General features: G+C 37.5%; 1 protein-coding gene across 11 annotated transcripts in view, besides 3 other annotated features; it reads right to left on the bottom strand.

Annotated features, from left to right (window-relative positions):
* The window catches only part of DLGAP1 (DLG associated protein 1), a 959276-nt gene that overhangs the window by 705884 nt on the left and 229332 nt on the right, over window positions 1–24060 (bottom strand). The window lies entirely within an intron of this gene.
* Window positions 4116–4285: an enhancer, noted in NCBI's record as "experimental_47861 CRE fragment used in MPRA reporter constructs". NCBI's record gives its function as "activates a minimal promoter by MPRAs in K562 erythroleukemia cells, with activity observed for the introgressed 18:4206116 or rs145932302 variant allele {active_cell/tissue: K562}" and the evidence as "EXISTENCE:reporter gene assay evidence [ECO:0000049][PMID:34662402]".
* Window position 4201: a transcriptional cis regulatory region, noted in NCBI's record as "Neanderthal adaptively introgressed variant 18:4206116 (GRCh37/hg19 assembly coordinates) or rs145932302 in the experimental_47861 CRE". NCBI's record gives its function as "modulates activity of the experimental_47861 enhancer by MPRAs in K562 erythroleukemia cells {active_cell/tissue: K562}" and the evidence as "EXISTENCE:reporter gene assay evidence [ECO:0000049][PMID:34662402]".
* Window positions 21415–21584: an enhancer, noted in NCBI's record as "experimental_47879 CRE fragment used in MPRA reporter constructs". NCBI's record gives its function as "activates a minimal promoter by MPRAs in K562 erythroleukemia cells, with activity observed for the non-introgressed 18:4223415 variant allele {active_cell/tissue: K562}" and the evidence as "EXISTENCE:reporter gene assay evidence [ECO:0000049][PMID:34662402]".

Below are 24060 nucleotides of genomic sequence, written 5' to 3' on the forward strand. Positions count from 1 at the left end.
AGATTTCTCAAAAAACGGAAAGTAGATCTACCATTTGATCCAGCAACTCCACTACTGAGTATCTACTCAAAGGAAAATAAGTCATTATGTCAGAGACCCCTGAGCTTTTATGTTTATTGCAGCATAATTCATAATTGCAAAAATATGAAATCAACCGAAGTGCCCATTAAGTGATTAGTAGATATAGAAACTGTGGTGTGTGCGTGTGTGTGTGTATACATACGCACACACACACACACCATAGGATACTATTCAGCCATAAAAAGAATAAAAGAATGTTTTTTGCAGGAACTTGGATAAAACTGGAGTCCATTTTCCTAAGTGAAGTAACTCAGGAATGGAAAAACAAATACTGTATGTTCTCACTTATAGGTGTGAGCTAAACTATGGGTACAAAGAGGAATACATAGTGGTATAATGGACACTGGAGCCTCAGAATGAGGAAGGGAGATTCCAAAATTACCTGTTGGGTACAATGTACACTACTTGCATAATGGGTAAATGGCCAGACTTCACCACTATTCAATTCATTCAAGTAACCCAAAACCCCTTGTACCCCTAAAACTATTGAAATAAAAATGTTTTGATTAGAAAGATAGACTATATCCAATAGAAAGATCAAAGCTAGTTGAAATCAACAGTGATAAAACCAACACATTATGGCAAGCCAGGAATATTTCTAAACATTTAAAAGAAAAAAATCAAGTATGGATTTTGTACTTGATATTAATGAAAAGTAAAAGATGCAACATTACACTAATGTCAGCAACTATTCACTCTCAGTTTTTTCAATCTACATGGATTCAGGAATGTTTAACAAAATTCATGGTATTTTATAATTTTACTCTTTTTCTGGCAGAAGGAAGACAGGAGTGGTTTTACAATAAGATTTTACCACTTCTGACTAGAAAGTTTTATCCTATATTATTCCAAAATAAACATTCTACACTAAATAAATATCTTTTGACAGTAAAATGATAATTTAAATCATGTTACATTCTAGGAAGTACAGATAAACACAGGCAGATTTTCTCTCTGAATTAGTCCTTAAATCACCTGATTAAAATATGATACTCTTGGCCAGGTGCCATGGCTCATGCCTGTAATCCTAGCACTTTGGGAGGCAGAGGTGGGCAGATATCTAAGGTCAGGAGTTCGAGACCAGCCTGGCCATCATGATGAAACCTGTCTCTACTAAAAATACAAAAAATTAGCTGGGCGTGGTGGCGGGTGCCTGTAGTCCCAGCTACTTGAGAGGCTGAGGCAGGAGACTTGCTTGAACCCGGGAGGCGGAGGTTGCAGTGAGATGAGATCGCGCCACTGCACTCCAGCCTGGGCAACAGAGAGATTAAAAAAAAAAAAAAAAAGATACTCTTATAAAAGTGTGTTATTTTAAAGCATAAATATAGTATAAAATACTCTCTAGTTGCAAGAATGCATCCTTGAAATATTCATTAAATATTTTCTAAGGGCCCACATTTGTCATGAGGAAATATTTTAAGAACGGGTAGAATCGAGTTCCATTTTTCAAATCTTTAATATAGAAGCAGATATCAATTAATCTTTTAAAAACACAATTTTGTTTGCCATGAGCTTTTATTTGGGCTTCTACTTTGACACATGTTTTAGCTTTAAGGTATCTTAAAACGTAGGGGCATTTAAGCTTTTAGATCTCATAAAACTTCCTGAGAACATGCTCTGACTCAGTCAGGCCCAGAAAACAACCACTCTTTCTTCCTTTTCTCCCTCCCTGAAACATTTCCTGAGGGCCTCTCTGGTTCATGGTAACATGCTAGGCTCAGGGGAACACAATGATGACTAATACAACATGGTACTTGGCTTTGGAAGTTCATAGGTCAGTGGAAATGCAGAAATATACACATCTAATTACAGCACAACTCAGTAAGTTCAGTAATAAATGTATATGAACACAGGGTGCTTTGAGGCACAGAAGAGCAGCTTCCTACTCAGCCCGAGGAGGTCAGAAAGAACTCAGAAGAGGAGGCACTGAATTAATGCTTCAGCTGTTTTTCAAAATGCTTTCCTGGTAGCATCTCCGCAAACACAAGAAGCTTAGGATTTACCATGCTTCTAGATTTGACTGTCAAATAACACATGGTCCATAATTTTAAATCTGGTTGACTACAAAACTCTTCATTGTGAAAATAGGAAGTAACAGAAACCCAGTCATTATGCATTCATCTTCTATAATATTTAACTCGGCTTAATCGCCATAATTCTTTCAACTGTCTGTACATAATAGTGTCAATAAAACTAGAAGAGTTTGAATAGGTACTAAGGAGCAAACTCTTTTAAGATAATCTTCTTTTTAAAAAATGGTACTAACAGCAGCCTCAAAAACACAGCAGATTGCTTCGCTTTCCATAAAATCAGGACAAGAAGGTTGTTATTCTTTTCATTCTCCAGTAAGCTCAAAAGGTGGGAATCTTGCCAAGACAACTCAATGGGCAGGAAGTCATTTTCTCAGGAAATTTCAAAAATATCATTAATTCACTTTGATCTTTTACAATGATTATAAAACATTCATAAGGATGGCTGTATCTAGCAGTTTTAACTGACAGGACTGTTGTGGTTTTTTTTTTGTTTTTGTTTTTTTTTCTGACCGCAGTGCATCACATTAAAAACACCCTCCCTCCTCACCATCAATTTCACAGTGGAAAATCCAGGCAAAGTGTTTTATTCTTGCTTAACCTTGAAAGATATATGGTGTGCTCAATTGAAAAATCTATTACTTAATTAGTTTTAAGAGGTTTGACATCAAACAGGAATACATTTGAAATGTAGATGAAGTAAGAGGTAAAAAAAATTCAGTTTAGAATTGTAAAGGGACATGTTGGATGTTCCATGAAGGTCAAAGTCAATTCCTTTCCTTAAGTTCCCTCAAAAGACTTATATGCACGGAAGTATTCAGTGGTGGTAACTGAGGTGAGCCTTTTCCCAATTTTTTTTTTTTTTTGTGGTTTGTTTTCTTTCATAATCCATTTGAACTTTGGCTTGACTCTTCTTCCCCCCAACATATTAACTATCCATCATACATAATAATTTTGAAATCTGCTTTCTAACTGATTGCTTAAGGGGAAAATTAAGATTAAAGATAACAGACAAGAAAACAAATAATTACCAGGGAGTACTTTCAGTGCTTCAGTGCAGAATATACAAGTTGCTGTGGGAACCCTGAAAAGCATGTTGACAGATGCCTGAGGAGGTAATAGGAAGCTTTTCAGAAGTCACATGTGAACATGGCCTTTCAGGATTTGTAGATGTTCTCGGGAGGTTAAGAGGAGAAAGAGTAGTATCAGAAAAAACCACATACAAACCAGCACACATACACAGTAGGTGAGAACAAGTGGTCCTTTAGGAGATCTGAAGGGGTGCCATGGTGGTGTGTGTCTACGGCATATGGCACTAAGTGGATGGGATAGGAGGGGGCGATGAGAAGCTATGGTTGGTCTGTGAAGGATCTTGCAGGTTATGCCAATGATTGTAGATTGTATCCTTTGGACCTGCACTATCTGATATGATAGCCACTATCTACCTGTGGCCATTTACATTTCTTTCTTTCCTTTCTCTTTTTGAGACAGGGTCTCATTCTGTCACGCAGGCCAGCATGCAGTGGTGTGATCACAGTTCACAGTAAAGTCAAATTCCTGGGCTTCAGTGATCCTCTGGCCTTAGCCTCCCAAACTGCTGGGATTATAGGCATGAGCCACCATGCCCAGCCTTAAATGTCAATGAAAAATAAATACACCAATTCAGTTCCTCAGAGGCACTAGCCACATTTCAAGTGCTCAATAGCCACATGTGACTCATGGCTATCATAATGGATAACACAGAGAATGTTTCCATTTCACCCCAAATACTAATAGACAGTGCTGCTTAAATAAGGAGAAGCCACATACAATCGCTAATTGTAAAGTAAGAGATTGACTTGATGAAAACTGTGCTTGATGAAAGAAGTAACTCATGTAGTGTGAAGGATGGGCGTGGGGGTAGAGGGCCGGTGAGAAGGAAACTGTTTAGCGATTCACCTGAAACTTTAACTATGGGGAGGTGGAGAGAGTTGCCTATTTCAGAAGATTTCCAGGGATAGAACTGAGAGGGCTTTGCTAAGTATCTGGTATAGATGCCTGGGTGGATGGTAACACTTTGACGGGAAGACACTAGAGGAAATTATAGTGGACTGGAGAAAGGAGATTAGTTTATTTTTTGACCTGTTGGGTTGGAGGTGCCTGGGACTTAGGGACTTAAAGAGGAGCTTTAAGTGAATAGGTCTCAAAAGTAATTTCCAGTCCTTTTCCTTTACAATCCACTTCCTTTCTCAACTGCCCCAAACAAGCATTGTGAGTTTCTCATGATTCCGGAAGTTTTTAAGCTAGGTTAAACAAGAAAGGAGAGTTGAGGTTGAAGTTTGCAAAAATGACTGAGTCTGGGTTTAAGGCTTTTTCACTCCATTTTGCTACCAAACCTGCAAACAAGCAGTGCAAAGGAACTATGCCAGCTGAGGGCACCGGGAAGTGGCTGCTCTTCCCTGATGTCACCCTAGTTCCAAGATCTGAGGGTCAGTGATGCCCATGGGAGGGAAAACTCCTCAGGCCAGGATAAAGAAACCGTGTCTTCCAGTCTTTACACTAGTTTGGAGAGGGCCCACATCAGCATGCATGGCTCTGCCTACTGTCAGATAAGGGAATTCCTTGCATACGACAGTTAAAAGCCATAGTGTTCTATTTCCTCCTTCTTTATGCCCCTTCACCTCTCTTTCACTTTTGACTAAGTCTTCCACATCACAAAGAAAATAGAGGTACCCTCCACTTCTAAATTCTGTTACCTTCATTCATCTCCATCAATTTCCTGCTTGTTTCACAGAAAGCCATCCCCATTCATTCCCTGGTTTGCAAAAATGAAGTCACAAAAGGCATGCAATACAACAGATTAATGATGGAGGAAGACATGAAGCTGAGAGAATTTCTTTAGGATGGGGAGCAATTGAATATGTTTAAATATTAATGTAAAAGAGATAGTAAAGACCAAGACATTGAAGTTACAGAAGAGAAAGGATTGTTGGTAAGTCTCATAAGAAGCTGGAGGCGATGGGATCCAATTGCAGATGGTGGGTAAGCACTGAGGTGGAGGAAAGACCACTCTTCCATCATCATAGAAGAAAAGGAGGTGTATTAGTCTGTTCTCACGCTGCTAATAAAGACATACCTGAGACTGGGTAATTTATAAAGGAAAGAGGTTTAATTGACTCACAGGTCAGCATGGCTGTGGAGGCCTCAGGGAACTTACAACAATGGCGAAAGGTGAAGCAAACACATCCCTCACATGGTGGCAGGGAGAAGAAGAATGACAGCCAAGCAGAGGGGGAAGCCCCTTATAAAACCATTAGCTCTTGTGAGTACTTACTACCACAAGAACAGGATGAGGGAAAATGTCCCCATGATTCAATTATCTCCACCTGGTCTCTCCCATGACACCTGGGGATTACCGGAACTACAATTCAAGATGCGATTTGGGTGGGGACACAGAAAAACCATATTAAGAGGCAAGAATGCAGACCGCAAAGAAGATAACATCTAATTTGAATCCCAAAGGCTTCAACGGAATTTACCATCTGAGGTAGTCACAAGCCCACCTGCGGTGTGGCTCAGCTTGGCCCCCTATTCATGTAGCTTCACAGGTATCTTGACTTCTGGGAGGGTTTGGGAGCAGCTTCTGCAGCCTTGGGAGAGGCCAAACACAGATCTGCCTCTGGATCCACCCGCTTCTCCACATGAGCTGCTTTTAGTCCAGCTAACCACCAAAGAGCCAAACTGCTATCCACCACTGCCTGTTTGGGGACCCAAATCCCAGATTTGTATTTCTGTCCAGGAATGTGTTTATCTTGGTTTGAATTCTAGGTCTGTCTTTTAAGCTTTCTTTTTTCCCCTATTAAAAAATCATTTATGTGTGTGGAGCAGAATAAATGCCTCATATTGTATTATCTACTAGAAATCATCCGCATTTTTTTGAAATAATGAACCTGTTACTTCTTCTAAATGATACCAGGTGTCCATTTTAGTTCAAATACTTACAATGTTACCTCACCCTAAGAATCCTCATCTGTATAATATTTTTCACTTTCAGTGAAAGTACAGCTGCACGGAGAAAATTTCTACACAATTAAGTTTAAAAATGAAAATTGCTCTATTCTTGATACAACAATCAGAGAGGAAATAAAACATAAAATCTCTGCCATTAAGATCTCCTGTACAGGCTGCCTCCACCTTAGGAGCAGGTTGTGTTTTGGAAGTTCACTTGTAAATTTTGTGTTTGGAACATCTAAAATAATTTCCATAGAAAAAATATTATAAATTGTAATTGTTTCCAGACCAGCTCATAAAAGCAAATTTGATACACAATATACTTGAAATACCATAAATTTGCATGAAATAATAGGAAACAGCAAATGTAATTATGATCTGTTTTTCTTTTACACACATTAAAACACTCTTTGAACCAATGCAAAGCCCAATGACTTGACTAATTTAATGCTGGAGTCTGAGCCATAGGTGGAGTTGGGAACTCATTTTGATCTATTTCCATTATGCCAGTAACATATGTTGTTGAAATTTAGAGTGAATGGAACAATGAGAGTGGGAAGATGCTGACTGTAGTTTGGGAGTTTCGCAATAGGGAAAGATGGCTAAATGGGTCTTGAGCCAAGAAATAAATTTTTATTTTCACCAGCTTTTGACTCAAAGTATTTAAGATGCTCCCTCTCTCACCAACACCAAGAGGGTGACAGAGAGAAAAAGAGAGAGAGAAAGAGAAAGAACAGAGGGAGAGGGAGAAAGAGAGAGGGAGAGAGGAAAAGGGAGAAGGAGAGGTTGGGGGGGTGGAGAGAGAGAGAATGAATGAGAGCTGTGGGAACAAGCCAACTATTTAACTACCTAGACATGCACTCAAATGGAAGACAAAATGGCAGCTATAATAGGCAGAGAACTCATTACCTGCAGAAAGCAGAGAGAGCTCCCACGTGACCACAACCACTGTCAGTGGCAATTAAATTTTCAAGTAGTGGGAAAAGAAGTAAATAACGGTAACTGTCCTCAGGTGAGGCCGGGTGGAAAGCTGCTCCCTTCATTAAAAAGAAGGGAGGGAGGGTGACTCCTTAAGAGTCAACTGATGGTGCTGAGGGTGAGGCTCATGTGGGAATAATGTAGCTTCTACATCTACCAGCAACAGAAGGCAGGGGACCTGAGACTCCTTTCACTGTGGTGCTGGAGAAGCAAGGATTGGGGTTATGGCGGTGGTGATTCTCCACCAGGCAGCCTGAGAGCTGCCAGGAAGACTGAACTGGAGCCATGCAAAGAGGCCAAAAGAGACAAACTGAAGTTACTCTTTCCAGAAGACAAAAGGGCCATAAAGAGAAACACCATTTTCACTTAATGGACAGTAGCAAGTTATATATGTACGAGTCAAAGCCTGCTCTTTCAATCCTGAATATCTGATAAGCAGATTTACCTTGATTAGTGTTTCAAAATACTCATTTTAATAAGTCTTTCAACTTATTGTTTGAGTCATTGAAACGGATACAGCTATCACGCATTTGAGGTATATACTCTCCTGTTTTAATTTAGTAAAATTAAAGGAGATCATAGGCCTCATATTTAAATATATTTAATTTGTTTATATCAAATGTAAATCCTTTTGAGGGGAACAAGAACATGTATAAACAAATATACTATAAAGCAGGATACTACATTACTTAATACGTGTTTGAATTTTAACTATCATTTATAAAGGTTAATTCATCATACAAAATTTTGGGGGGTACAAATTGGTGCCAAGATCTATGTTAGGTGGAGTGAATATAATAGTGTATAAGAAAGACACAGTTCTTGCCCTCTTGGAAGATAAGGCATAGCAGAAATAATAGAAAAGCCAAAGCAAGGACACAAAATATTCAATATCTGTATTTCCTGGCCTGCCGCCTACTCCTTCGTTCATTGCAATCTGACTTCCACTCTACTCCAATAATACTTCTCTTCCTGAGCCATTATATGGTTTTTCATGGGACTTGAACATGCCCTAATTCAGCTTAAATTATCTTTAGCAGTTCTGTTTGGGTTTAAAATTCACATCCTTAGAAACTTCCCCTAACCACACAGAATGGGTGAATTACACCTTCCATTTGTTCCCATGGAATGCTCCACGTCCTCTCTCATGAATTGTAATTTTAAAAAGTCAATTCATTGTCTGAGTCCTTCCCTGGCCTGTTAGCTCCCTGAAGGGTGGCACCAGTTATATTCACTATCAAATTCACTCCCCTATCAAGAGTATGGTCATTAAAAGGTGTTGTGTAGTATCTGATGAATAAATGAATGAATACATGAATGGAAGAGGCATTATATAATAATCAGAAATATTAAGTTCTAAACAGAGAGTGATGGGAGATGAAGGTGGAAATGTACTCAGCTCATAGAGAGTCTTGGATATCTTTTTGTTGATTGGGACACTACTGATCGGAAAAGTAGACTCAAGAGTTATCATTAATGCCTCATTTATGCTGAGCTAGGAAAAGGAAAAGACGATTCCAGTGGAACAGACTTTTTCACATGATTCTTACTGCCTTGATTGATTCAATATTTACTATATACATGATGTCTCTGGGGAAAATGAGCAAGAGGAATGGAAAACTCTGCAGATGAAAGAGGACGATGGCCTCTCGGAGAATAGAAATGGCAGGGATGGAGTGAACATAAAGTTTATCTGCAGCAGTGGCTTCCAGATAGAGAACAGCTATATAAAAACCAAAATTTAGAAGATTCCTGATTCCAATCCCAGAAGACTGTATTATGTCTGGATGGAGACTAAAGATCTATTACAACTCTTCAGACAATACTGATGTGTAAAGAGAACGTCTCATCTAGTTTAACCCTTTCGTTTACATGTAAGGAAGCTGAAGCCCAGGAGAGGTTCAGTGACATTGTGCAGGTCGGTGAGCTAGGACTAAAATTCCTGTCTCCTGACCTTGAGGTCAGGGTTCACAGCATTAGCTCTAAAGAGGCAAAATAATTACCCATAAGTTTGAAGAATAAAATTCAAAGAGAACAATGTAGCTTTATCTACTTATACTACCTTTTTGAAGTTAAAGGTAGAAACTAGTTTTCTCAACCTGAGTTCTGAAGCTCGAGAATGAGATGGGTCCACACTGCACAATGTAGCCACCTGGTTTACCGCATTAAGATCACAGCAAACCTACAGAACTAACAGATTTCCAGGCCTGTGATGACAATGAATCTGCAGATGGCTGGGGGGTTTTATGTTGAGGGTTGAGTTACTAATGGCATGAATCACGAGCAGCTTGTAGAGAATGATAAACACCTGTTCTTCATAACGCCTAAGTACAGAAGAAAAATGATGGACCAACATGATAGTGTTACTGACTTGGGCTGAATATGTATGAACTCTTTTCATTAGTAAATGTTAGAAAGGGTTATCAAGGGAGATTGTTTAATTACCATTTTTGGTAGGTCCTTAGTTTGAATCTGGAAGGCATTAGACCTAATCTTTCCAAATGACAGAGAGTGATACCAATTGATGTTGTATTAGAGCCCAGTGAGACCTCTGCCTTTAAATGTTTCCTCAGTGGAATATCCTAGGGACTCTCCAATAAGACGAGTACATATGAGCACAGATCCTAATGAAAGGGTTTGATGGTGAGTCATGATTCCCTGCATTTCACCCAGAAAGATCAGCAATCACTCAATTAGCTTCCACAGAGAAACAATGGTCAGCATTTTCCTTAGTCTCTCGAGACAAGGATAAAGCAGTACACCCCTATGTAAAATGAATGAATCACTACAGGCAAGTGACAGGTGCTATTCTTGTGATGTCAACAAAAGTCACTGTAGTAATGAAGATTTTCTGAATTAGATTTTAGCTTCATTCTTCACCCCTTCTCCTTTTTTTGACCATTCTTTTGCAGCTTGTTTGCCAAATTCAGGAGAGAATGCAAGCAGCTTTTCATATGTTCAGCAGTCCCAAGAAACTTTTTAAAAATACAAACATGTCTGTGTTTTGTATGCGTTTTTGAAAATGTATGCATTTACCACACTTCATACATACAGTTTCTTTTTGCAGAAACAGGTATTCCCAATAGAAATACATTTTTCCTGCAGTTTTAGAATCTACACAGGTCAAATTGTACATTACTTAACTCTGTGACAGGAAGGAAGGCAGGCAGGTTGTTGCCCAATGCATAGCACTGACAGGCAGGGCAAAGGACACTGAACTCCAAATGTCATCAAACTCAATGACTTTGAGATGAGTCCTGCTGGACTATAGGTACTGCCAGAGCTATCTAGTCCTTAAAACATACCATATATGTCGCTTATTCCCAAACTGACAGATTCTGCTAGTAATCTGGAAATGCAGGAAAAGGAAATAAGGTGATTTAATTTTTAAAAGGGCGCACTGGCTCACACCTGTAATCTCAGCAATTTGGGAGGCTGAGGTGGGTGGATCACTTGAGGTCAAGAGTTTGAGAGCAGCCTGGCCAACATGGTGAAACCATGTCTCTACTAAAGTTAAAAAAAAAAAAAAAATCCAGGTGTGGTGGTGCGTGCCTGTAATCCCAGCTACTTGGGAGGCTGAGGCAGGAGACTGCACTGCTGCACTCCAGCCTGGGTGACAGAGGGAGACTCCATCTCAAAAAAAAAAAAAAAAGGATAATAATGATACCTCATCATAGGTCCTTTATGAAAATTAAATAGCTTAATTGGTATACTTTTCATAATATCCCTCATAATACAAATATTCTGGTTAATTGGGAATCAATATACGTCACATAGATTATAAATTTTTACACAGTATAAAAATATCCCATCACATAAATCATATTTATTATAATTTACCAATTTTAATCATTCAAAAAATGTTTCAGGAAGGCCTGATAAATTGGTATTATTATATGAACAATTAAATTTGTCATAAATAAGAGATTCTGTCATCTAAAGATGTACCAACAATCTACAGATAATAAAGTGGCAAATAAATTATATTTACATCATTTCATAAGGTACTTTCTCACATATTAAAGCATAATTATAGTACTTATTACTTTCATTTGTTTGCTTATTAATTGAGCAAACAGGTTTTGGGGATTAAGTACAAAGCATGAAATTAGACTTTGAAGGTATAAAGATTAATGAGATACAGTCTCTGCCGTTCCTTGAAGCAGATGCCAAAGCAAATTGGGGCAAAAACATGAGAGTTGGTACCAAGGGATTTCATCTTTACTCTGAGGGCGAAGAGAACCATTGAAGGGTTTGGAGGAGCAAAGTGATATGATCAGCTTCACATGGAGATTCTCTTGGGAAATGATTTGAGGGAACCAGTTGGAGGAGCATGGCAGAAACTGAGGCAAGAAATGATGCCAAGTTGACCCCTGAAGTAACATCGAGTCAGGAGGAAGAATGGAAAGGAGTAGATGCATTGGAGTGACAGCAAGAGTATAAAACCCACTAGCTTGAGAGTTAATTAGGAGAAGATTATTTCCAAACTTTAACTGGGGTCTCTGGGCAGATATGGTGCCACTCAGAGATGTAGAACTCTGGAAGAATAGCAGGTTTAACCTTGGGACACAATGAGATCAAACTTGGACATTTTATATCAGAAATGTCAATGGGAAATTTTAGTAGAAATGGTACCCATTGAAGATCAGGGGAGATATTTCAGTGGAGGCTATAGAGATATATGCATTAACAGTGTCAAATAGCTGCAGAAGACAATGGGGACCTCCCCCATATCTCAAGGAAAGTTTTCTGAGAGTAATAAGACAAATACAAGAACAAGTCTTGGGCTTCCAAGATTTAAGTAGTGACAAGCCTGACAAGAAGAATGGAGAATACTCAGATGAGTAGGAGGAAAATTAACATAGTAAGTGGTGTTAAAGTCCAGGAGCCAGCGGTAAAGAAAGAGGACCTGGCTGAGGGCAGCAGGTGATTCAGAGTCCATGTAGGAAGTCTTCTTGATTTGGCACCAAAGAGTCTCCTGAGACTGTGGCCCGAGAAATTTCAGTGGACACCAGAGTGCCCTAGATTGAGGAGTCATCGCTACAGAAGATAAGGTGGAGACATGAGGTGAGGACAATGCTTCCAAGATGCCGAAACTCATCAAGACGGATAAAGGTCAAAAGAGGACTTTGGACTTTATTTGTTTGAAGATAGACATGTCTAAACCTTACAAGAAAGAGACAGAAGAGAAGGGAGTATCAAAGACAAAAAGAAAGTGAGGGAAACTGAGGAACAGGAAGGTGGCAGGAGGAGATGGGAACCGGAGTCGTGGATTACAGACTGATCAGGGCATACAGATACAGGTTAAGGAAACAGATTTTTTTTTTTTGGTGGGGGGAAAAGGATTCAGTATAAAACCCTGCGTTTAACTCTGATTTTATTCATAGGGTGGCCCATTTTTCCTATTCATTCAGCAAGACTCAGTGAAGGTTTCTCTCATCCTGGAATTGTGCTAGGCACACAGAGGATACAGTGGTAAATCAAACAAGGTCCCTGCCCACAAGAAACCCACCCTGTTGGAGCTGGGGTGGAGGCAGAGGGTACACACGTAAATTTCTAATCCAAGGCAATCTGTGGAAATCTTAGCATTGATTTACAGTTTGCAGTGGAAAGCCCTGTATATCTTTCTATCTCTCAGACATGAAAACCAATATTAAAATAGTTCACCCTCCTTAACATAATTGCAAACAGCAATCTTTTAAATGTTGACCACTATATAGATACATTAGTTATAAATGTAGCCAGGGGACTAGAATTAATTAACCTTAGCAGTGAATTCCATTTGAACTTAGTCTAATCAGGGCAATTTTCTATTCTGGAGAACAAAATTAATTATCTGGTTCATTTAGGAAGAGAATCCCACCAAAAGAAAACAAACACCAGAATTTTTTCCTTAATTATTAGGATATTAATACAATTCTTGATCCAGTGTCTTCCCTCTGATAAGAAAATGTACAATAAAAAGAACGACATTTTAGGCCAATAAATAGATAAGGAAAGAGATAAAGAGTTCAGGTTAACTTATCGGGAAAGCTGAGATTTATTTTACTGTAGTATCAAATTTGTTCTCTTTATTCTCACTTTATTGTATTTTGCTCCAGTTTCCCTTTTCATAATATGCAAGATAATTTTGTATTATCAATATCTTATATACCATAGAGCCAAGAAAGTGATAAGGTAAAATATTTTGAAATGATGCCATCTGCATAAATTATTTTTATTGCATTAATTTAAATTAAAAATTATCTAGATATACATCAACTCAGAGGTATCACCACGAAGTATCTTAAAATAAAATTATGAATGACAAAATGCTATTTTATGCAGCACTTATGTTGCTACCAATTATCTTTGTCAATATTTAAAGACAGGCCTTACACAAATTCCAAGATTTTCATGAGAAATAGTGAAGATATTAACAAATAACTAAGGGGACGAGCAGAGTCTCATTCTTTGAACGGCGTATCTCATATGATCCAGGTTTCTGTCAGCCTTGATGCTGTGTTTTCACCGAATAGATCTAACAAATGAACCTTAAAAGTAAATACTCTTGGAAGGACAGTAACCATTCCCTGATACTGCAGTCAGTATTTCTGGTTCTATGTGGCCAGTAAGAGGGAAATTTTTTTCCCCTTTCATTAAAACAGATGGGTTCATTTGCTGTCCAAAAGCGAATCAGCATTAATTTGGGGCATCCTTACTATGCCAAGGATATTGGCAGATTTTTAAAACTCAAGTAATGGCTTGGTGTGTTTTTAAAACAAGCAGAAATGCAATTTTCATAGCAAAGGTAAAACATCACATCTCTGGCAGTGCATCTCCTCCTGATGTTGGTGGTCCATTTCTCCTGCCAAAAGTGGGAGCAGGAACACATTTGGGTAGGAAGATGCAGACTGAAAATTCACTGAAAGAAGGTTAAGGATTATACTAGGGACATAGACAAAAAGGGAATACACCTGAAGCAATTTTAGAACACAAAAATGTATTGCATCCTTTAAATTCACTGTCTCCTAAATGTATTAGTCCATTCTCACGCTGCTAATAAAGACATACCCGAGACTGGGTAATTTATAAAGGAAAGAGGTTTAATTGACTAACAGTTCAGCATGGCTGGGAGGCCTCAGGAAACTTACAATCATGGCACAAGGGGAAGCAAACACGTCCTTCTCATGGCAGCAACAAGGAGAAGTGCAGAGTGAAGCTGGAGAAAAGCCCCTTAGAAGACCATCAGATCTTGTGAGATCTCAGTCACTATCATGAGAACAGCATGAGTGTAACCGCTCTCGTGATTAAATTACCCCCCCCCCACCAGGTCCCTCCCATGACACATGGGGATTATGGGAACTACAATTCAATGAGACTTGGCTGGTGACAGAGCCAAACCATATCACCTACCAACTAATTTTAAATGTTACACTCTTTAATTTTCTACCTGTTTATTTTCATTCATGTTCATAGTCAAATTTTTTAAACACCATTTTGAATGTTTAGAAAAATCATGGACATGCCATACACGACCACATGTACAGACACATTCACATCACTTTGCTAAGCATGAGTAAATATATCCTAGCTTAATGCAACAATGATTGAATCGTAGAGTTACCTTGTACTATCTTTGTAGGATTCCATTATTAAGACAAGCACAGAAGGCTTAGAATAGACAACTTCTATCTTACTCCCTCATAGTTAGGATTAAAGAGATTATGACTGAACTTTTAAATTGGTAGACCTTATTTTTAGAGCAGTTTTGGGTTTACAGAAAAACTGAATGAAAAGTATGGCAAGTTCTCATAAAACCTAACATCACTCAGTTTCCTCTATTAGTAGCATCTTGCATGAGTGGGGTACATTTATTGCAATTGATGAGCCAATATTAATATATTATTATTAACCGAAGTCCATAATTTACATGAGGATTCACCGTTTGTGTTGTACAGTTCAAGGAATTTTGACAAACAATAATGTTATGTATCCATTGTTACAGTATCATATTGAATAGTTTCACTGCCCTAAATATCTCCTGTGTTCCATATATCCGTCCGTCTCTCCCTCTTTCTGAACTCCTGGGAACCACTGATCTTTTTTCTGCCTGTATTTTCACCTATACCAGAATGTGATATACTTGAGAAGATGCAGTATACAGCCTTTTCTGGCTGCCTCCTTTCACTTAGCCGTATGTATGTAAGGGTCCCTGCACATCTTTTTGAGGTTTGGCTGCTCATTTCTTTTTAGCATTGAATAATACTTCACTCTATTTTTGTACCACAGTTTGTTTAAATGTTCACCTAGGATATCTTGGTTGTTTCTAAGGTTTGACAAATATGAATAATGCTGATATAAATATTCATGTTCAGGTTACAGTGTGGAAATTAGTTTTTAACTGAATTGGATAAATACCAAGGAATATGATTGCTAGTACATGTGGTTATATTTTGTAAGTGACACTGTTTTCCAAAGTGGCTGTACCATTTCACATTTCCACCAGCAATGAATGAAAGTTCCTGTTTCTCTGCATCCTTGCCAGCATTTGGTACTGCAGTTCTTTAATGACAGATGATGTTCCGTGTATTTTCATATGCTTACTTACCGTCTACACACACAGACACACACGCACATAATATATATATATATGTTTGGTGCTATGACTCAGATTGTATATTGTTTTTGGTGAGATGTCTGTTCAGACCTTTTTCCCATTTCCTTGGTTAGTTGTTTTCTTATTGTTGAGTTTTAAGATTTCTTTGTGTACTTTGGATACAAATGCTTTACCAAACACATATTCTGCAAATATTTTCTCCCTGTCTGTGGCTTGTCTTTCTATTATCTTTATTGTGTCTTTTGGAAAACAGTATGGAGATCCCTCAATAAAACCACAGATGTATAAAAAGGTTTTTTCTGAAAGTAGTTTTTAATTTTAATAAAATCCAAGTTATCAATTTTTTTCTTTCATGAATTGTACTTTTGGTATTATATCTAAACACATTGCTAAAACTAAAGTCATGTACGTTTTTCCCTCTTATGTTATCTTCTAGAAGTTTTACAGTTATGCAATTTACATGTCTGTCTACGATTTATTTTTATTTAATTTCTGTGAAAGGTGTAAGATCTGTTAGAATTTTTTTTTTTTTTTTGCATGTGGACCATTTGTTGAAAAGTCTGTCCTTTCTTCACTGAACTGCCTTTGCTTCTTTGTCAAGGATCAGTTGGCAACATTTGCATGAGTCTATTTCTGGGCTCTCTATTCTGCTGTATTGATCTATTTTTCTGTCTTTTCACCAATACTATGCTGTGTTAATTATTGTAGCTTTGTAGTTGTTCCTTTTTAAACCTTTTAAGTTGACAAATAGTAATTGTATATGTTTGTAGGGGTGATATATTGTGATATTTTGATATATATTTACAATGTAGAATGATTAAATTGAGCTAATTAGAAAATTCATCACCTCATATAACTTATCTTTTTTTGTGATGAAAACATTTAAACCTAATCTTTTAGCAATTTTGCAATATATAATACATTATTATTGATTATGGTCACTATTCTGTGCAATAGATCACTAAAGCTTATTCCTCCGATCTAAATTAAATTTTATACCTTTTGACCAACATCTCCTTTTCCTCATTCATGTCCCACCCCAGCTTCTGATAGTCATCATTCTACTCTATACGTCTATGAATTCAACTTTTTAAGATTCCACATATAAGTAAAACTCAGTATTTGTCTTTCTGTGTCTGGCTTATTTCACTTAGCATAATATCCTCCAGGTTAAGGCTATGTGTCTGTTGTGTGTATATACTTAAGTGATAAAGAAAATGTGTATACATACATACACACACACACACACACACACACACAATTTTCTTTATCCATTAACCCACTGATTGACACTTAGGTTGATTCACATCCTAGCTATTGTGAATAATGCTGCAATAGGCATGATAGTGCAGATATCTCTTTGATATATTTATTTCATTTCTTTTAGATATATACCAAGTGGAATTGCTGGGTCTTATGCTAGTTCTATCTTTGTTTTTTTTTTTTTTTTTTTTTTTTAAGGAGTCTCCAAATTGTTTTCCATAATGGCTATAATAATTTAAATTCCCATCAACAGTTCCTTTTTCTCCACACCCTTGTCAACATGTTATCTTTTGTCTTTTTGTTAATAGCCATTCTTACAGGTATAAGATGATATCTCATTGGGGTTTTAATTTGCGTTTCTCTAATGATTAGGATAATAAACATTTTTTCATATATCTGTTGGCCATTTGTATGTCTTCTTTTGAGAAGTGTCTATTTAGGTCCATTGCCCATTTTTTTTGGACTGGGTTATTTGTTTTCTTGCCATTGAGTTGTTTGAGTTCCTTAAATATTTTGAATATTAGCCCCTTATCAGATATATGGTTGGCACATATTTTCTCCCAGTCCATGCAATGTTTCTTCACACTACTGTTTCCTTTGCTCTGCAGAAGCTCTTTAGTTTGATGTAATCCTATTTGTTTATTTTTTATTTTGTTGCCTGTGCTTTTGGGGTCATATCTAAAAAATCACTGCCCAGACCAATGTTACGGAGATTTCCATTATGTGTTCTTCTAGTTGCTTTATAGTTTCATGTCTTTAGTCTATTTAATCTTTAATCCATTTTTAAGTTGATTTTTGTGTATGGTATTAACTAAGCATCTAATTATAATCTTCTGTTTGTGGATATTCAGTTGTCTCAATATTATTCATTGAAGAGGCTGTCCCTTCTCTATTGTGAGTTTTTGGTACCTTTGTCAAAAATGAATTGACTATAAATGGCTGGGTTTATTTCTGGTGTTTCTATCCTGTTTTATTGTTCACTGTGTCTGTTTTTATGCCAGGACTATGCTGTTTTGATTAATACATCTTTGTAATAGATTCTGAAGTCAGGTAGTGTGATTCCTCCAGCTTTGTTCTTTTTGCTCAAGATTGTTTTGGCTATTCTAGGTCTTTTGTGGTTCCATATAAATTTTAGGACTGTTTTTTCTGTTTCTATGAAAGATGACATTGGAATTTTGATAGGGATTGCACTGAATCTGTACATCACATTGGGTAGTGTGGGCATTTTAACACTAATTCTTCTAATCTGTGAACACAGAATACCTTTCCATTTATTTGTGTTCTCTACAGTTTTTTCATCAATGCTCTATAGTTTTCAGTGTATTTCACCTCCTTGGGTAAATTTACCCCTAAGTATTTTGTATGCTGTTTTGAATGGGATCGATTTCTTTACATCTGTGAACAAAGACAGTACATAAAATCTAAATCTCTCTTTCCTTCTTTTTCCAGTTTAGATTCTATGGCTCATAATTTCATTAAGACTCTTGCCAAGAACTTAGTATCCTTTGTTCTCATTTCTTCACTTCCATCTGGCAAAATCCCAACTGTGCATGAGTGCAACTCAACTGGGTTATTTTGCCTCCATTTGTGCAAGCACAGGTGGGGAAATCAGAAGAGGGTGGATGGCGACACTGTAAATTTGTCATCAACAACATCAAATGGCCCTCAGGACGGATAAGCAATTTGACTATATTTTTATTTTCCACTCTCTCTAGTTTCTCCCATAGTGATTTTTTCAAAACGTTTCCATTTGCCTCAAGCTTGGACAAATTCCTTAATGTTCTCCATTGACATGGTAAATTTCTTATGATCTACTTCACACAAGAAGAAGCCATCATATATATGGAAATTCCATCTAGTATTCCCTAACAAACCTACAAATCTATCTAGATGAACTCTTACTCTTTTTAAAAATGTTTATTTGATGAGCAGGGAAGAAATTCTTTCTATCTAGGTCCAGGGCCTCTTCTTACACAGCAATGCAATATATAATGATATTTTAGGTCAACAGTGGACCACATATGTGACAGTGGTCTTATAAGATTATAATATCATATTTTCACTGTGCTTTTTCTATGTTTAGATATGTTTAGATACACAAATATTTACCACTATGTTATAATTACCTACAGTATTCAGTACAGTCATATGCTATACAGGTTTGTAGCCTATGAGCAATAGGCTATATCATGTAGTACATAGTAGTCTCTACCATCTAGGTTTTTGTTGATGTTTGCACAACAATGAACTTGCTTGGCAATACATTTCTCAGAACGTATTCTGGTTACTGTGCAATGCAAGACTGTAACTTGAATCCTATGTTTTCGGGAACCTCAAAATAGCAACCATCCGCTCTTATTCCCACATATTCAATAATTTTCTTACAATTGAATCCCTTGCCTGTTATAATTAAACATTATCAATTATCTCCATTAAAAAAATTCTCTCAACTTATATGGCTTCTTGTTTCCCATTTTCCTCATTTACAATAAAAATAATCAAAAGAGCTCTCTGTACATATGACAGATTATATATTTAATTAAAATATTCCCTCTCTATTGCTGCCTCACTGACATCAGGTTTGGTTATGTGACTTTCTCTCATCAATAAAATATATATGAAAGTTATGTGTGCTGCTTCCAAGAAGCAGCTTTTAGAGTAATTGCATGCACCTACTCCTTTCTCTTTTTCTTCCATCATAAGACCAACGATGCCTCAGAATAACACCTGCTGCTTCACCCTGGTCCTGGAAGATGCAGGACATCAGCAGACGTGAAGTTGACTGACAGTACACGGTAGTTTGAGCACAAAATCAACCCTTGCAATAGTGTGCCTGCTGAAATTTTAAAGGTATTTTTTACTGCCTCATACTTTACTCTATGTTGACTTGTACATGACTTTTTGCCTCCATTTTCTCCCTCCCCATTACTACTCAACCTGCTTAAAATCTGACTTCAGGGTTATCTCTTCGCATTTACATGTCAATAAGTTAAATGGCGATTTTTCAGTGTGACTTTAGCTGATCTCTCTAAGCAGCATTTCAAATAGTTGATCACTACCTTCTTTTTGAAACAGTCTTTTCAGAAGAATCTCTTGCATCTTTGAACACGAATATTCCTGATTTTTTCCCAAAACCTTGTTGTTGCCCCTCAGTCCTTCTCATTCCCCATTTCCTTGAGTATTAAATATATTAGTTTCTCAATTTTCTCTCCTAAAACATCATCTCTTTTCATTCTATATTCTCTTCTTAGACAGCTTCATCAGATGATTTTATTTTCTTTCTTTACTTAAATAATGTTCAAACATATGCTTTCAGTCCAAACTTCTCTGAATTTCTGACACATATATCCAATTGCCTACTTTATGTCTCTGCTTACATGCCTTAAAGTGATATTCAATATGCCCCAAACATAATGCTTAACCATTTGCCCTAAACCATGCTTGTTTCTGGTGTTTATTTTGTTTTCTCTCATTTCCTTCTCTCATAAACTCCATGAGGCAGAGCCCGTGCCCATTTTTGAATCTTGGAGTACCTGATATACAAGGCACCAAAATTCCCAGCATGATAAATCAAACAATTAACAATTCTGTACATCAGGGTAAAACTGCAGATAAAGATATGCTCATTTGCAGTTTGCTTTTCAGGTGATTCACTATAGTTAGACAACTAATTCTTCAGCAACAACAATGGAAGTCAGGAGTTAGTGGAGTAATATAAAAACTAAAAGAAAATACTATCAACTTAGAATAGTATATTGAGTAAAAATATCTTCCAAGAACAAGGCAGAATTAAGGACTTTTTAATATAAATTAAAAAAAATGAAGAGTTTGTTTTGCCAGTGGTGTTTCCCTATAGGGAATTCCAAAAGATATGTTTTAGACAGAAAAAAAAAAATGATACAAGATGGAAGGCTGAGATGCAAGAATAATGATAGACAAGAAAGTGGCAAAAATGTGGGTAAACTGATACAGGCACTCACTGAATAAAACCATAATAATGTCTAATTTGGGGGAGTTAAAATGTAGAAAGAAAATAAGAGGACATAGTTAAAATATTGGAATGACCATAAACAGAAAAGAAATAAAAGAAATGATAAACACATATTAAAGATTTTTGCTGGGTATGGTGGTACAAATATGTAGTCTCAGCTACTCTGGAGGCTGAGGTACGAGAAGCACTTATGTCCAGGAGATTAAGACCATCGTACTAGCAACATAGCAAGACCCCTGTCTCTCTAAGAAAATAAAATAAAATAAAATACTGTTATTATTTTCTTTTTAAACGGTGTGTGAAGCATTTAGTACATTTTTATACTTTATACCCTACAGATGTTTTATAAATATTGCTGACCTTTAAATTAATATTTAATAAACATATAAAAATACATTTTCTTATCTCCAGCTGAGTTTGAAACATGTTTATGCAGGAATAAAATGTATAATTTATTAGAGAGTGAGACTGGCCTAGTTCACTGTTTCTTATATTTTCCAAATGGAAGAAGTATTCCAAGAACAGATCCATGTTTGAAACCTTGTATTTCAGTGTGTTAGTCTACAATTATGTACCAAAATAGTTGCAGCCTTTTATATAGCACTTTGAGGTATCAGTGGGTACTCACAACATTTGAATAAGATGTGCAAAGATCACAGTATCATCGCATTTGTTTACAGGAAATAATCTAGTTTACATAGTTAGAAAAGTGTGGTTAGTGAGGTCATGCAGAATTTCATCATTTATTTTAATAAATCTCAAGATTATGTAACAACAATAGATATTAAAATGGTCACCAGATATGTAAAGGCATTACTATAATTCTGAATGCTACTCTAAATGTTTATATTTCCTTGTCAGAAATGCAAAATTTTCTTGAAAGTGTATTAGTGGTGTCAGACTCACTTTTTTCAGAATCCACTACTATAACATAAAATATCACCCTTCCCAGTCTATACAGAGAACAGAGAAGTAGTCCAAAGAGCATCCTTATGGCACATATCATTGCCATAGGAAGGTGAATGTCTACATTAAAGAGCTAAATCATTATAACTTAATTCTTAGCTGTAACCTCATGACATTTTTATATAACCAGTCAGATAATAGCTTCAATCATTTAGATACAACTTGGAAAATTCTAGTTAGAGAAATGAGAATGAGCATAGAACACTGAGCAGAGTCCTGAGACACTCATTCCAGGCCCTAACTCCTGGTTGACATTTCTAGACAAAACCTGGGCCAGAAGGGAACCTGTTGCCTTGAGTGGAAGAACTCAGTCCTGGCAGGATTCATCACGGGCTGACTAAAGAGCTTTTGGCCTCTGAATAATCAGCAGCAGTAGCCAGGTAGCACACACTGTGGGCAACCACACTCTCTGGGCATTGGGTGAGACTCTGAGATGTGCTGACTTCAGGTGTGACCAACTGTTTCACAGCTGTCATGGCTATGAGGAGAGACCCCTTCTTCTTGAGAAAAGCAGAAACAAGAGTAAAGAAAACAGACTAGGTATCAGTTTGGCCATAAGGAGGTAGAGTACCAAGGGGGATCTTGGGGTCCGTGATACCAGGCTAAGCTCTTGGACAGCATTTCTAGACCTGCCCTGGGCCATATGGGAACCCACATCCCTGAAGGGTGAGTTTCAGGCCTGACCACATTTGCCATAAGCTGACTGAAGAGCCCTTGGGCCTTGAGTGAACACTGGCAGTAGCCTGGCAATACAACCTGCAGGCCTGTGGTGGTGGCAGACACGGAGGAAGACGCCTCTGCTTGTGGAAAGGGGAGAGAAGAGTGGGAAGAACTGTCTTGTGTTTGGGTGCCAGCTCAGCCACAGTGGAATAGAGCACCAGGTAGGTTCCAAAGGTATCTGTCTCCAGGTCTTGGCTCTGGGCCCATATCTCTGGACCCACCTGGGGCCAGGGGGACTCACTACACTGAAGAGAAGGATACAAGCCTGGCTGGTGTTGCCACCTGCAGATTGTAGAGCCCTAAGGCCTTGAGAAAACATAGGAGGTAGCAAGAAAGTATTTACAGTAGGCTTTTGGGGGACCCAGTGCTGTGCTGGCTTCAGGTCTTAGTGCATTCACAGTGGTGATGCCCACAGGAAGGCTTATGTCACTGCTCCCCCAGCTTCAGGTACACACACTCACACCCCCCCACACACACATGCATGCACACACAGATACTCTGTTTCTTTGGGAGAAAGTAAGGGAATAAAACAAGAGGCTCTGCCTGGTAATCCAGAAAATTCTTTTGTATCTCATGCAATACTACCAAGAACCATGAAGGTAGCATTTAAACCAGCTCTAGCCAGAGGGGAATCATCCATTTCAGCGGTCAGATCTTCAAGCCTCTATGAGGCTGGAAGAGTCACAGCATTACAAGGATGGGGGTGCCACTTAATGCAGTTATGGTTGCAGTGACCTAAAACTTAGATCACAATACCCACATCCCATAGATACCTGGAAAATCCTCCCAAGACGGACAGGTACAAACAAGCCCAGACTGTGAAAACTACCATAAATACCTAACTCTTCTATGCCCAGACACTGATGAACATCTACAAGCATCAAGACGATCCAGGAAAACATGACCTCACCAAATGAACTAAATATGGCACCAGGGACCAATCCTGGAAAGACAGAGATATAGGACCTTTCAGATAGAGAATTTAAAATAGCTTTTTTGAGGAAACTCAATGAAATTCAAGGAAACGCAGAGAAGGAATTCAAGATCCTATCAGATAAATTTAACAAAAATACTTAAATTATTAAAAGAAATCAAGCAGAAAAAAGTTGAAAATGCAAATGACATACTGAAGAATGTATCAGTCTCTTACCAGTAGAGCTGATCAAGCAGAAGAAAGAATTAGTGAGCTTGAAAACAGAGTATTTGTATATACACAGAGGAGATAAAAGCAAAATTAATAAAAAAGAATGAAGCATACCTACAAGTTCTAAAAAATAGCCCCCAAAGGGTAAATATAAGAGTTATTGGCCTTAAAAAGGACAGAGAGAGAGAGATAGAGGTAGAAGGTTCAAAGGGATAATAACACAGAACTTCCCCAACCTAAAGAAAGGTAGCAATATTCAAGTACAAAAGGGTTATAGAACATCAAGCAGATTAACCTA

Source organism: Homo sapiens, chromosome 18, assembly GCF_000001405.40.
Source record: "Homo sapiens chromosome 18, GRCh38.p14 Primary Assembly".
Taxonomy (NCBI): Eukaryota; Metazoa; Chordata; class Mammalia; order Primates; family Hominidae; genus Homo; species Homo sapiens.